General features: G+C 34.2%; 1 annotated feature.

Moving 5' to 3' along the window:
* Positions 3,887-4,087: a silencer, noted in NCBI's record as "peak345 fragment used in MPRA reporter construct". NCBI's record gives its function as "represses an SCP1 promoter by STARR-seq MPRAs in K562 erythroleukemia cells {active_cell/tissue: K562}" and the evidence as "EXISTENCE:reporter gene assay evidence [ECO:0000049][PMID:32103011]".

The raw sequence follows: 16,263 nt of genomic DNA, 5'->3' as shown, positions 1-16,263 counted from the left end.
TTAGAAAAAATACTTTAAACTGAATGAAACTGAAAATACCACGTATCAAAATGTGTGTAATGCTGCTACAGTGCAGTTAAAAGAGAAATTCAGAATGGCCAATGTTAGGAATTTAAAGAAGAGACTTAAATCAATAATCTAAATCTCAACTTACAAAAAAAAATGAAACAGAAGAGCAAATCAAATGAAGAGTAGAATCAGTAAGATTTAAAACAAAATAACATAGCCAGGCATGGTGGTGTGTGCCTGTAGTCCCAACTACTTGGGAGGCTGAGGCAGGGGAATCACTTAAACCTGGGAGGCGGAGGTTGCAGTGAGCCGAGATTGTGCCACTGCACTCCAGCCTGGTGACAGACCAAGACTCCATCTCAAAAACAAAACCAAAGCAAACAAAAAAATAACAACATAGAAAATAAATGAAAGCAAAAAAAAATTTCTTAAAAAGATCAGTAAAATGGATACACTTCTATCAAGAATAATAAAGACGAAGGCCCAAGTTACCAATATCAGAAATGAAATAAGATGTATTACTGCACCCCTGACAGATATTAAAAGAATAGGGGAAAACTACAAACAGCTCAATGCCAGTGAGTCTGACATTTTAAATCAAATGAGTCTGTTCCTTGAAAGACAAAAACTACCAAAGTTCATGGAAGAAAGGATAACCTGAACAATTTGTCTATTAAAGAAATCAGATTCATAGATAAATCTTTTCAGAAAGAAAATACCAGGTCAACAAATTTTATCTGGGTAATTCTAACAAACATTTATAAATAAATATTTTAATTCTTCATAATCTTTTTTGAAAAAGGAATACTTCCCAACAAATTTCATGAAATCAGCATTACTCTAATACCCAAACCAAAGACATTACAAAGAAATAAATCTACAAACCATTATATGTCTTATGTTATTGAACAAAAACATTCTCAACAAAGCAAAACAATTATTTATCCAGAGATAAATCTACAGACCAATATCTTTTATATTACTAGAAATAAAATTCTGAATTTAGTTTTTCTGAAAATCAAATCCAATAATATACAAAAAGGATAATATATTCTGGTCCTGGAGATTGGAGAGGTTAATCCTGGAATGCAAAGCAAATTCAACATTTGGAAATAACAATCCTCAGTTGCCCTGTTAACTTATTAAGTAGAAAATACCACATAGATATATCAGTAGATGTAGAAAAAGCATGTGACAAAATTTAACACTAATTCATAATTAAAAATTAGCAAATAGTAATAGGAGAAAATATTCATAATGTTATAACATCCAAAAAAAAAATCCTGCAACTAAAGTCTTAATAGTGAAAAGCTGAGTGAATTCTCATTAATATTGTGGACAAAGCAAGTATTACCACTCTCACTGTAACTGCCCAACACGTCCTTCCTGTTCAATGAACAAACAAAATCAATTTACAGAAATCCTGGCATTGCTGTAAATAAATAATTTAATTAACGCGAGGCTGGACACGCCACACAGGAGACAGAGTTATTACTCAAATCAATCTCTCAGAACGCTCTGAAGTTAAGGGTTTTTCAAAGATAGTTTGATGGGCAGGGGTCTAGGGTATGGGGAGTGTTGACTGTCTGAGTTGGAGATGAAATTATAGGAAACTGAAGCTGTCCTCTTGCACCTAGTATCTTCCCGGTGGGGCCACAGGGGCAGTTGGCAGGTTCAAGTGGAGCCATCAGTCATCAGAAATGCAAAAATCCTGGAAAGATCTCTCAAACGGCCAATTTAGGTTCTACAGTAGTGATGTTATCTGTAAGAGGAATTGGGAAAGTTGCATATCTTTTGACCTCTGGAATAATGGCCAGCCATAGTTTATGTCTACACCTTAGCAGGATTCAGGCTCCTCTGTCCTCCTAGACAGATGGTCTCATATTACATATTAGCTTCACAAAGGCAGTCGAGTTTTGGGGAAGGGTTATTATTATTTAAACTATAAACTAAATGTCTCTAAAGTAAGCTTGGCTTAAGCCCAGGAATAATAAAAGACAGCTTGCACACTAAAGGCTAGAAGATTGGCTAGATCAGATCTCCTGCACTGCCATAATTTTTTCACTGTTACAATTTTTGTAGAGGTTGTTTTACCACCATTCCTTTTCAACATTGTAGTGGAAATTTTCATAGAGCAAGAAAGCAAGAAAAAGAAGTTAAAGGCTTACCAATGGAAAGGAAGAAATGAAACTATCTCTTTTCACAGATAACATTTTCTAACAAACAGCCCAAGGGATTTTAAAGTTACATTTCTCATAGAAATGTTACTCAAATGAATAGAAAATCCATATACACAGAACTACATGCAAATAATTATAGCAGGTTTATTCATAATCATCAAAAACTGGAAACAATCCAAATGTTGCTCATGTAAAGAACAGGTAAACTGTGGTTCAGCCACACAATAGAATCTACTCAGCTGTAAATATGAACTATCAATGTACCCAACAAAGTAGATGATTGTCAAACACAACACATTAAGCTAAGGCACAGAAAGTGTGATTTATTTATGTGACTTTCTGGAAGACCCAACAATAATAGGGACTTAAAGGAGATCTGGGTTAAGGGTAGAGTAAGAGTTTGACCACCAAGTGAAAGCATCCAATGTACAACAAAAATAGTGAAATTTGCTATATGTAAACTAAAAATTCATGAAGAAAAGTAGTAAAAATATTTCATAATTTAACCAGTTATTTTTATTTTTATTTATTTATTTAATTTTTCTAGAGTGAAAGGGAGAAGGAACAGAACAGAGGTGGCTCAGTGGCAACACAGGTTTATTGGGAGAAAGATCTGCGGTGTGGTGTTGGCGGGGGAAACAACTAGCACCAGGTCCCCCTTCCCCCCTTACAGGCATGGACCCCAGAGGTCTGGGATTGTTGCAAAAATGGGGTGGGGGCCATGTGTTTGGCCACTGATAAGGAAGGAATTTACTGTGGTTAGGGTTAGGCCTGGGACCTGTCCAACTGTATGTTTTTCATGGTCCAGGCCCTGGTGGAATTTTCCACTCTGAGCAGAGTTTGTAAAATCGTGGGGGTCTGCAAAATGGCATGGCTTGGATTAACATTTCTGCCTTCTTTTTTCTAGTAGATTCCAAAGACAAATATTAATTAAATGATTCTTTAAGATCTGTTGCAAGTGAACATAGTGCATATTATTTAAAATTGTCTAAACTATTGTGGACATCGAGTCAAAATTTAAATCAAGAACACAGTAATAAAATGGTTTATATTTCTATTTTTAGTGTTCTGAATCTTGTATTCTTTATAATGCTAGCATTAGAGCTGTTCTACAATAAATGAGGTCAAGTCTTTGAGGTATATTTATTTAGATGTTAAAAAGCTGAAGAATATAATTTGCAAATTTACAAAGTTAAATCATAGCTGAATTAAAATAACTTCTCTTAGTAACTGAAACAAACCTGAATATACAGAAAATTCATGTGTTTAATTCAAGCAACTGAAGCATAAATCTGACAATAAAAATAATAAATTTGTAATGAAAATTCAAACCCAAGAGGAGCAGTTCCTTCTGCTTCCACTACTCAGATATTATCTTCGCAGCCTTTCTCCTTGATTTACATGAGAAGCCAGAAGTCATTGATGGTTAAACACAATGGCTTTAAAATAGTTTCGTTGACTTTTTCAACATTTTTTGTATGTAGTAAGCCACAGGAAAGCAGAAATCAAATTATTTCTGTTGAGAAAATAACAATAATACATACAGTTGCTTCATATACAAAAAGAATGCTTTCAAAGTATATTCAGTGACGAGTATTAACCAAAGTCCAAGTGTAAGATTTATTATGCCCACCAGAGATGACAAGGCAGTTTACATTTGCTGTTGTTACTGAGAAAGGAAAATAAAAACGAGGGACCCCAGTTCATTCTGCCAAAAAAAAAAAAAAGAAATTAAGATGTAAGCTGAGTCATGCAAAAAAGCTGTCTTTTCTTTTATTCCTAAGCAGATAGCTACAGAAGAAATGTATCTCCAAAGATAGCTATTCTACTCTGTGTTCACCTTATCTTATAGTGGGCAGGAGACAAATACATAATTATTTCCCTACTGTTACTTTTGTCTTGCAACATGTAGATTCAGTTAACCCTTTAAATATTGAAGCCCTCAAAATCATTCTGGAGAAAGGCACAGACGTTTCTCCCAGGCATGCGCATTTAACCTTGGCAAAATAAACTTCTAAATTTATTGAAACCTGTCGCAGGGAGTTTTTGGTTTATGTTACAAAATATGTTCAAAGATTATGAACAAAACAAAATTTATAAACACGAAGCATCTCCAGGATTTCTACTTTATGTCACAAAAGAGAAATAGCTTTGAACCTCACTTATTTAGAAATAGCAGAGTTTTGTATATTTTGCTTCATTACTATTTCATTAGTTATTACAAAAACTGTGACCATTTTCACATTATGGATCAATTATAATTGCATAAAACTTAGGGAATCCAAAGTATGATATATTTTTTAAATGTTTTCTCTTGAAAACCATAAACATTTTATTTTAGAAGCCTGGGTCTAATTATCTTGACTTGTATTATTTTAGTTTATGTTACTACAACAAGATTAGATAAAATCATTTTCATTTATTTTGAAATGAGAAAACATGACACTTTTTTTCTGTACTCTTATCTTTCATATAATTTTAATATATAAATTTAATATTAAGGGCCAAATAATCTCAATCTATTGATCAAAACTATACACAAGTACACCTGCTCATTTAAACACATGTAGGTGTGAATTTTATTAAGGTAGATGTAATTACAATATTAATTACTCCTGAAACCAAAAAACCTCAATACCACATCCTTGAAAGACCAAGAATAATAAATGCAAACTTCTAAAGGCTGGCATACTGGTAGAATGTGCATGTGTGCCAAGAAATTTAATGATTATCATTAAAATACCCATTACAACATAAAAATAGAATGCCAGCAGATGATGTATTTAAAAGTTGCTCCTGTTGTTTTTAGGTTGATTCTGACAACCATTATTTGGCTGATTGAAAGATGTATATTTTGCTAATTTGTGTCAATGTCATATACAGAGATCTGTGATTGTTCTAACCTTGTATTCCTTGTTGGCCCATATCTGGTATCACACACTTACAAATAATCCTCAGACCATCTGGCTACTGACAGAACAGGGCACAGGTCAAGGACTGTTTGTACAGAGGGTAGTATGCCAGCTGCCTTCTCACAATGCCCTTCATTGTATGTTTCATCTTTGCTTAAAAGACCTATTCTTTGTAATATTAAGATGTCATTTTCTGTCGCTTAGAAATATTTGAACTATAACCAGCCTTTGTTTTATAATGTTAATACAGGATATTTGAGCTTTTCAATTGTTTCATGAGTGCAAAATAGCCCATTTAAATAACGGATATGTGCAAAGAATGGTATATATTAATATTCCCTAGGTCAACTGTAATAATTCTCCAAGTGTCACTTTCTTAAACTAGATTTTTTAAGTACTATCATAAGATTACTGTTTATCCAGCAGAATATTAACATAGAGTGTAAGCATCAATCAAGGGTTAGGTCTTTTTCAGATATATGTATGGCTATGAATAGCAGAAAAGGTAAAAAGGAAATGTGAAGTCACTGACTTATCAGTACATGGAAAGATATCAAACTCTGAAGAAACAGTAAGGTTAAATTAAACTTTTGTCAGTAGTTATGGTTAATCATGTCTAAAACTTACAAATTTTATTCTGACTGCAACACAAGTGGAATTACATATCATTATAATGAAAACACTATTACTACAGTACCAAATTAGATGTATTAAATTTTAGTGATGCCACATGTATGAATAAGCAGTCTTTTTTTTTTTTTCCGAGATGGGCTTTCACTCTGTCACCAAGGCTATAGTGCAGTAGTACAGTCATGGCCAAACTGCATTCTGGACCTCCCAGGCTCAAGTGATAATCCGACCTCCTGAGTAGCTGGGACTATAGGCATGAGCCAATAAGCCAGACTAGTTTTTTGGTTTGGTTTTGTTTGGTTTGGTTTGGTTTCATAGAGGTATGGTCTTGTTCTGTTGTTCAGGCTGGTCTTAAACTCCTGTCCTTAAGCAATACTCCCACCTCAGCCTCTAAAAGTGCTGAGATTGTAAGCATGAGCCACTGTGCCCAGCTGAAATCAATTTTATAACCAAAGATAATAAAACACATTTTAAAGGAATTTAATAGCTTATTTAGAACTAGTCTTTAATGCCAGCTTTATTGAGGTTTGCTATTGAATTAAATGTGTGATGTCATGTATCTAGCCACATTCTGAAGTGTTATATTAATGCTAATAAAATAGTAATAATAAATAAGAAATTTGATACTTAGTTTTCAAACTTTGCATGAAACATAGCATTATAATGTAATTTAATATATGTATTTTTTGTAAAGGGTATAAAATACAATGGTGGGTCCTAAAATCACCCTGCCTCCATTATTTTTAAAATTTATTTGTATTTAATATATTTTGACCGTTTGTTCAGTATCCTTCTAAATCTTTTGAATCCATGTCAATAAAACGCACCAAAAATTAATGGATAGTAAAATTATTTTGATATAAGGAATTTATCTTTTATAATAGTGAAATGGTTCATTTCAATAAAAAGCAGAAAATTGATATACAAAAACAGCAGAAAAAAGAATTCATCATTCTACTATAAAAATGACAAGAGTTAAATACAGTTGAACTTTGAAATAAGTAATTTAAAAGAATGGCATATTTACTAAAACACATAGCTGAAGAAAATAAAAATTATGCAAACTAGATAAGACATACATAATTAAATGCATGAAATCTAAATATTCTTATAGGGAATCTATGTATCACACAAATACATGTGCATAAAATTTTATATATTATCTGTACTTCTGAAGCCTCGTATTCAAATAATATTTTTATACATTTAATCATTTAAAATATTTGACAAGGCTCATTCATCTGAGTAGAGTTGTGCAAATTCTCTCTCTCTTGTCTATTTCTTTCTTTCTTAAGTTTATGATACTATTTCTGTGTATCCTGATTTGTCAGAGAAATTTTTCTTTGTATATTTATTTACTGTAGCTAATAGTGTTTCACATTGGTGCATCATACTTTTAAAAAGTCATTTTAGATAGGCTTTCCTCAGTTCTATAACTTCAGCCCAAAGGAAGATGGTATGTCCTTTGATACCAATGTCCTGTGATAGCATGTCCTGTGATAGTGAGAGGTGAAGCTGGCTAGGCTTCCTGGTCGGGTGGGGACTAGGATAACTTTTCTGCCTAGCTGAAGTTTTGTAAACACACCAGTCAGCACTCTGTAAAAACGCACCAATCAGCGCTCTGTGTCTAGCTAAAGGTTTGTAAACGCACCAATCAGCATTCTGTAAAAACAGACTAGCCAGCACTCTGTAAAATGGACCAATCAACAAGACGTGGGTGGGGCCAAATAAGGCAGTAAACGCTGGCCATAGGCGCCAGCAGCGTCAACTTGCTCGTGGTCCCGTTGCAGGGTGTGGAAGCTTTGTTGTTTCACTCTTCATAATAAATCTTGCTGCTGTTCACTCTTTGGGTCCACACTACCTTTATGAGCTGTAACACTCACCACAAGGGTCTGCAGCTTCATTCTCAAAGTCAGCTAGAGGATGAACCCACCAGGAGGAACAAACAACTCAGGACATGCCACCTTTAAGAGCTGTAACACTCACTGCGAAGGTCTGTGGCTTCACTCCTTAAGTCAGCAAGACCACGAACCCACCGGAAGGAAGAAACTCCAGACACATCTGAACATCTGAAGGAAGAAACTCCGGACACACCATCTTTAATAACTGTAACACTCACCATGAGGGTCCGCGGCTTCATTCTTGAAGTCAGCCAGACCAAGAACCCACCGGAAGGAACCAATTCCGGACCCAATAGTGATAACCAGGCAGATACTTTAGGTATCTGAGCTTTACAGCTAGTATGGTCACCACTATTATTCTACCATGCTGTGAAGATTAATTTTGTGTGTCAACTTGGCTAGTTTATAGTAGCCAGTTATTTAGTCACACACTAGTCTAAATATTGCTGTGGAAGTATTTTTTAGATGAGATTAATATTTATGACTACTTGACTTTAAGCAAAGCAGATTCCTTTCCATAATGTGAATGGGCCTCATCAAATCAGCTGAAGGACTTTGGAGCAAAGACTTAGATTTCCTAATGAGAAAATATTCTGTTTCAGAACTGCGACATACAAATTTTGCCTTAATTTCCAGTCTGCTGCCCTGTATGATCACTCAAGATTGGAACATCAACTCTACCTGAATTTCTCATTTGCCAGACTGCCCTGTGCCACTCCCATGATTCCATGAGCCAGTTTTTAGAAATCTTTTACCCCCTCTCTCTCTGGAGGCTGAGGTGGGATAGTCACTTGAGCCAGGGAGGTCAAGGCTGTAGTCAGCATGGTGGTACCACTGCCCTCCAGCCTAAGTGACAGAATGAGACCTCATGTCAAATAAAAAAAAAAAGTTATAAATCCTGCATATAAATTGTAAATATATATGTGTACATATTTACAATATTTTTTGTGTTTTTGGATAACCCTAACATAGATGGTAAACAGTAGAGTAAAAAAGTGAATTCTGGCCCTACATATTAATGTGTGACTGAATTGCATTCAACAAAAATTTAGTCTTCATTTTCAAAAAATTTGAAGACCTTTTTACCATTGAGATAATCAAGTCATGTCCTTGTCTCCTATTCCTTAAAAATTGTTTAATATATTTTTTATTATTCTGATGCTGTTAGATGAAATAACAAAAGTATGCAAACTTAGTAAATATTGTTATTTTTTAAATTTCTTGCAAGCTCTTTGCTGAAGTGCAAAGAGAATATATATATCAACTAACATTTATATTCATGTTTTCCACTAACAAGTTATCAAAATAAACTGCCTATTAACATGTGATTGTAGATTTTAAAACTATTTTACAAACCAGATTTTTTTTTTTTTTTTTGAGACGGAGTCTTGTTCTTTCGCCCAGGCTGGACTGCAGTGGTGCTATCTCAGCTCACTGCATGCTCCGCCTCCCGGGTTCACTCCATTCTCCTACCTCAGCCTCCCGAGTAGCTGGGACCACAGACGCCCGCCATCACGCCTGGCTAATTTTTTGTATTTTTAATAGAGACAGGGTTTCGCCGTGTTAGCCAGGATGGTCTGGATCTCCTGACCTCGTGATCCGCCCGTCTTGGCCTCCCAAAGTGCTGGGATTACAGGCATGAGCCACCACTCCCGGCCACGAACCAGATTTTTTAAACCATGACATATTAATAGTTTTCAATGGGTGGATAAAGGAGGAAAAATCTATCTTTCTGGAGAACTATAATCAAGCAAATATAACTATTTTTAATAAGTCCTATAAAGTTACTCGATCTATATTAATTTGACCTGGAGTCACCTCCCATCTTGGTATCTATATTAAGGCATTTCACTCTTTATTTTTCCTTTTTTTTGGTGAGAGGCCAAATTGCCTTTAAATTATTTCTATTTACCATGCAAAAGTATATTTATTTATTCATTAGTAAGAATTAAGTGGTAATAAGGGCAAGTTGGATATAATTCTCATTTATAAAGAGTCTGAATGTGATAATTTAGTCTAATGAAAATTGTTTAAGAGGACAGACATTTTGGAGGAAGCCTTGTTTAAAATTAGCTCTGTGTCTAATGCAGCAGATGGGCTATATTCTTGTCTATTTCAGAGACATAAATATTTTTATACTCTTCTGTTAACATTAAGGCAAGGCCTATTTTGCAGATGATATGGTTCAATCAAATGACGTGAATAAAATATTTTTGCTTGTTTGATCACTAATCAGTAGAAATCAAAACAATATGTGCCATAGCTTCGATTAGGATAAGTATAATTTGATAGTTTACCAAATAAACTGCCTACTTTAGTTTTATTTTTTCAAAGCCAGATTGAGATTATTATGATGTCTAAATAAGCACCAGAAAGCTGTGTTGTAATTTTTAAATGTTTTCATGTTACCTGTAATTTTATAAAATAAAATTATTACGAGATATAATGGAAACTCATAAAATATGCCAGCAATATAAGGAACACATTAATTTTAAATTATTAATGTAATTATTTTAAAATTGTTTATAATATTTTGGACAATGCAGTGAAAAAGAAGTGCAATTTTACCTTTGCCCCTCACTATGACATCTTGGGCAGACTATTCATCTGGGCTTCATATTCGTCTGTGAAATGAAGCATTATTATAATATATTCAAGATATAGTCTCAATTTTTTAAAAAGCTACTCACTATTCTCAAAATACATAAAATAATGTAAACAAACTGGTAACAACAGCAACATCTGTGTTACTGATTGGCTACCCATTGTCAGTTACTTCACCTGGAGCTACTCATATATTATCCTCATTTTAATACTAACAACCACCCTGATTAATTCACATGATTGTGCTCATTTTACGCATTAGGAGGATCATTTGTCATTTTTCTATAAACTTGTGTATTTCTAGTATTGAAGACACATTGGATGTCTTACAAATATTTATGACATAGGTATGTAATCTGTTTCAGAGGCTAATTTGTGCCCTATAAAAGACAACACATTGTATTTACTCATCTTGTGTTCTAAGGACCCTCAGTTCTATGAGGGAAAGAACAGACTTTCCCTGTTTTTGACAACCTTAACAGCTTTGGTAAGTAAAGTATGATACTTTGTAGGGCATTACTAAGTTCGGATATGTATAAATATTTGTTTTCTCATCATTACCCAGGAGGGTGGGTTTTTGAGGAAAAGACCACAAAAGTTATATCATTCTTATCACATTATATCAAGTGTGCATGCTACCAAAATATGTACAGGATCTAATTATGGTAAACTAAAATTCTGATAAAATGAATCAAAAAAGTGCTAAATATGTAAAGAAATATTCAACATTTTCTTGGTTTGCCTGGCTAGAGATTTATCAATTTTATTAATTTTTCCAAAGCACCTGCTTTTAATTTTGTTTATTTTGCTTTTATTTTATTTTGTGTATTTTTTTATTTTATTTGAAGTTCTAGTGTACATGTGCAGGATGTGCAGGTTTGTTACATAGGGAGATGTGTGTCATGGTGGTTTGCAGGACCTATCAATCCATCTCTTAAGTATTAAGCCCAGCATGCATTAGCTATTTTTCCTGATGCTGTCCCTCCCCCTACACTCCCAGCAGTTCCCAGTGTGTGTTGTTCCCCTCCCTGTGTCCACGCATTTTCATTGTTCAGTTTCCACTTTTAAATGAGAACATGCAGTGTTTAGTTTTCTGTTCCTGCATTACTTTGCTGAGGATAATGGCTTCCAGCACCATCCATGTCCCTGTAAAGGACATGATCTCATTCCTTTTTTATGGCTGCATAGTATTCCATGGAGTATATGTACCACATTTTCTTTATCCAGTCTATCATTGATGGGCATTTGTGTGGATTCCATATCTTTGCTATTGTGAATATTGCTGCAATGAATATATATGTGTATGTATCTTTATAACAGAATGATTTATATTATTTGGGTATATACTCAGTAACGGGATTGCTGGATCGAATGGTATTTCTGGTTTTAGGTCTTTGAGCAATTGCCACACTGTCTTCCAGAATCAAACTAATTTACATTCCTACCAACAGTGTAAAAGTGTTCCTATTTCTCTGTAGCCTCACCAGCATCTCGTTTCTTAACTTTTTAATAATAATCGCTATTCTGCCTGGTGTGAGGTGATATCTCATTGTGGTTTTGATTTGTGTTTCTTTAATTATCAGTGATGTTGAGATTTTTTCATATGTTTTTGGCCAAATAAATGTCTTCATTAGAGAAGTGTTTGTTCATGCCCTTTGCCCACTTTTTAATGGGGTTGTTGGATGCAAAATTTTTGGATGGATAGGATGCAAAAATTTTCTCCCATTCTGTAGGTTGTCTGTTCACTCTGATGATAGTTTATTTTGCTGTGCAAAAGCTCTTTAGCTTAATTGCTTTTGTTGCAATTGCTTTTGACATTTTGATCATGAAATCTCTGCCCATGCTTATGTCCTGAATGGTATTGCCTATATTTTCTTCCAGAGTTTTTACAGTTTTGGGTATTACATGTAAGTCTCTAATCTGTCTTGAGTTGATTTTTGTATAAGGCATAAGGAAGGGGTCCAGTTTCAATTTCCTGCATATGGCTAGCCAGTTCTCCCAGCACTATTTATTAAATAGTGAATCCTTTCCTTACTGCTTGTTTTATCAGGTTTGTCAAAGATCAGATAGTTGTGGGTGTCCAGTATTACTTCTGAGTTCTCTATTCTGTTCCATTGGTCTTTGTGTCTGTTTTTGTACAAGTACCATGCTGTTTTGGTTAATGTAGTGTGGTATAGTTTGAAGTTGAGTAGCATGATGCCTCCAACTTTGATCTTTTTGCGTAAGATTGTCTTGGCTATACAGGCTACTTTTTGCTTCCATATGAATTTTGAAATAGTTTTTTTCTAGTTCTGTGAAGAATGTCAATGGCAGTTTAATGGGAATAGCATTAAATCTATTAATTATTTTGGGCAGTATGGCCATTTTCACAATATTTATTCTTTCTATCCATGAGCATGGAATGTTTTTATTTTCTTTGTTTATGTCCTTTTTGATTTTCTTGAGCAATGGTTTGTAGTTCTCCTTGAAGAGGTCCTTCATTCCCTAGTTAACTGTATTTCTAGTTATTTTATTCTGTTTGTAACAATTGTGAAGGGGAGTTCATTCATGATTTGGCTCTTTGCTTGTCTATTGTTGGTGTATAGCAATGCTTATGATTTTTGTACGTTGATTTTGTATCCTGAAGCTTTGCTGAAATTGCCTATCAGCTTAAGAAGCTTTTGGGCTGAGATGATGGGGTTTTATCTAGATATAGGATTGTTTCATATGCAAACAAACGCAATTTGACTTTCTCTCTTCCCATTTGAATAGCTTTATTTCTTTCTCTTGCCTGATTTTCCTGGCCAGAACTGCTAAACTGCTAATACTGTGTTGAATAGAAGTGGTGAGAGAAGGCATCTTTGCCTTGTGCGAGTTTTCAAGGGAAATGCTTCCAGGTTTTGCCCATTCAGTATATTGGTTGCAGGTTTTTCATAAATTTTTTTTTATTATTTTGAGGTAAGTTCCTTCAATACTTAGTTTATTGAGAGATTTTAACATGAAAGTATGTTAAATTTATCGAATGCATTTTCTGCATCTATTGAGATAATCATGGTTTTCAAATTGCTTCTTTGTTTTTAACTTAATTATTTGTGTTAATTGTTATTCTAGCTTTTCTGTGCTTGATTTACATTTAGATTGTTCTTTCATTAATCCTTAAGACAGAACCTTATGTTGATGAACTCAGCTCTTTCACATTTTCTAATATATGCATTTAGTGCTATAATTTGCCTTTAATAATTGTTTTCAATGCATCTCATAAATTTTAACAAGTTGTATTTTCACTTTTTTAAAATTCACGATATTTGTATTACTTAGAAGTGTTTTTTTAATTTAAAATATTTGGCAATTAACCATCCATCTTTAAATTATTGATTATTAATTAATTCCACAGTGACATCTTTTTTTGGTATTGCATATTTGTTTTATGGTATAGAATATGGTTGATCTTGTTGAATGTTCTATGTGGTCATGAGAAAATGTATTTTCTGCTGTTGAATGGGGTAGTCTATAATTGTCAGTTAGATCAAGTTGATTGAATGTTGTTTAGGTCAACTACATCTTTATTGGTTTTCTACCTGTTTGATCTGTCAATTACTGAGAAAGAAATGTTGAAGTCTCCATATAATAATAGTGAATTTGTCTATTTCTTTTTTCAGTAGTACTTTGACATTGTGTTAGGTGCATACATTTGGGATTATTATGTTTCCATAAATAATTGGCCCACTATTCCTGATCATTTCCCTAGTTCTTCAGTTTACTTTTGATTAATGTTAGCGTGATATATATCTCTTCATCTACTCACCTTTAAACTGTTTATATTTAAAGTTTTTTTTTTTGTAGGCAGCATATATTTAGAACTTTTTAAAAGTACTCTCTGACAATCTCTGTACTTTTTTTCTTTTCTTTTTTTTTTTCAGACAGAGTCTTGCTCTGTTACCCAGGATAGAGTACAGTGGTGTGGTCATGGCTCACTGGATCCTTGCTCAAGCAATCCTCGTGTCTCAGCCTCCCAAGTAGCTGGGAGTACAGATGTGTGCCACCACACCCAGCTAAGTTTTTACTTTTTGTGGAGAAGGGGCCTTGCTATGTTGCCCAGGCTGGTCTTGAACTCATGGCCTCAAGCAATCCTCCTGCTTTTGTCTCTCAAAGCGGTGGGATTACAGGTGAACCTAGCCAACCTCTCTATTTTAGTTGTTGCATTTAGATGATTCACATTTAAGTGATTACTGAAATATTTTTATTACTGTCTTTAATCTTTATTAACTATCTGTTATATTGATTCTTTGTTTTCCTCCTCTTTTTTCTGCCTTCTTTGGTTTTAACTGAACGTTTTATGGGATTATATTTTTTCTTCTTCCTACTAGATTATTTATACTTATTTAAAAAATTTTAGTGGTTGTTGAAGAGTTTAGAAAATACTCTTAAATAATCTAAACTCACTTTCAAATAACTTTATAGCACTTCATTTGTAGTACACATACAGAATAACCCCAGTTTCTCGTCCCATCTCTTGTGACATTGCATCAATCCTTTCACTTATCCATATGCTATAATCACCCAATATACTCTTACTTCTTAACACGACTAGTTATCATTCAGATCAATACAGAAAAAGAAAAATAATTATCATCATATTGCCTTTCTCCAATTGTCTAGGATTCCTTATACAGATCAGTATTTTTTTTTCTGTGTTATTTTCCCTCTTCCCCTGAGATTTCTTTTAACAATTCTTGCAGGAAAATTGTGTTGGGGATGAATTCGCTCTGTTTCCTTGGAGAATTTTGTTTCTTTTCTTTTCTTTTTTTTTTTTTTTTTTTGAGACGGAGTCTTGCTCTGTCACCCAGGCTGGGGTGTAGTGATGCCATCTTGGCTCACTGCAACCTCTGCCTCCCGGGTTCATGCCATTCTCCTGCCTCAGCCTCCCGAGTAGCTGGGACTACAGGCTCCCACCACCAAGCCCGGCTAATTTTTTGTATTTTTGGTAGAAACGGGGTCTCACCGTGTTAGCCAGGATGGTCTCGATCTCCTGACCTCGTGATCCGCCCGCCTCGGCCTCCCAAAGTGCTGGGATTACAGACTTGAGCCACCATGCCCGGCCTGTTTGTTTCTTAACTCACTTTTAAAAGATAATTTTAACGAATAGAGAATTATAGGCCGATGAATTTTTTTCTTTTAACATATTAATATGTCACTTTATCTTTTCCTGCTTTTATGGTTTCTAAGGAAAAGTATACCGTAATTATATATGTAGAGTGATTTCCTTCCCCTTTGGTTTTAAAATTTTTTCTTCTTTGCCTTTGCATTTGGATATAATATGTTAGTGTTGTTTGCTTATTTGTTTGCTTGCTTTTTTTCTCGATAATGGTATATTTAGTATACACATATATATTTAGTATACATATATTTGCTTTTTTCTGTTTTTAAATTAATAATGATGCTCATTGAATTTTCAGAATCTGTAGCTTGGTGTCAATCATGAATTTAGTCATTATTACTACTATTTTTTTCTAATGCTGTTTTTGTTTTTTCTTTCTGATATATTAAATTTTGGTGCATAAAGAATTGCGGTTTTGGAAAGTGAATTTTAAGTCATTATAACAAGGCTCAAACACATCTTTATTAATCAAAATAGGAACCATTACAATCAACATTTTTTTTGCCAATGAGAAATAAGTTTGTTTATTCTTGTAGTGTAAAAATCTGTGCTTCGGGATTTAATTCTTGGAAAGGATTTTCTGCATCCTGCTAGTTGTGGAAGCATTTTTCTTGCAAAAAGTTGCCAAGATGCTTGAAGAAGTGGTAGTTGGTTGGTGAGAGTTCAGGTTAATATGGCAGATAAGGCAAAACTTTGGAGCCCAATTCGTTCAACTTTAGAAGGATTGGTTGTGCCAAGAAATTTTGTGGAGGGCCCTTTCTGCTGACCAATGCCAGCTGCAAGCGTTGCAGATTTCAAGGCATCTCATTGATTTACTGAGCATACTTCTCAGATGTAATGGTTTCACTGGGATTCAGAAAGCTGTAGTGGCTCAGACTGGCTGCAGACCA

This window comes from Homo sapiens, chromosome 1, assembly GCF_000001405.40.
Source record: "Homo sapiens chromosome 1, GRCh38.p14 Primary Assembly".
Classification (NCBI taxonomy): Eukaryota; Metazoa; Chordata; class Mammalia; order Primates; family Hominidae; genus Homo; species Homo sapiens.
Note: the sequence above shows the minus strand (reverse complement) of the source record. Positions and strands in the feature narration are given on the sequence as shown.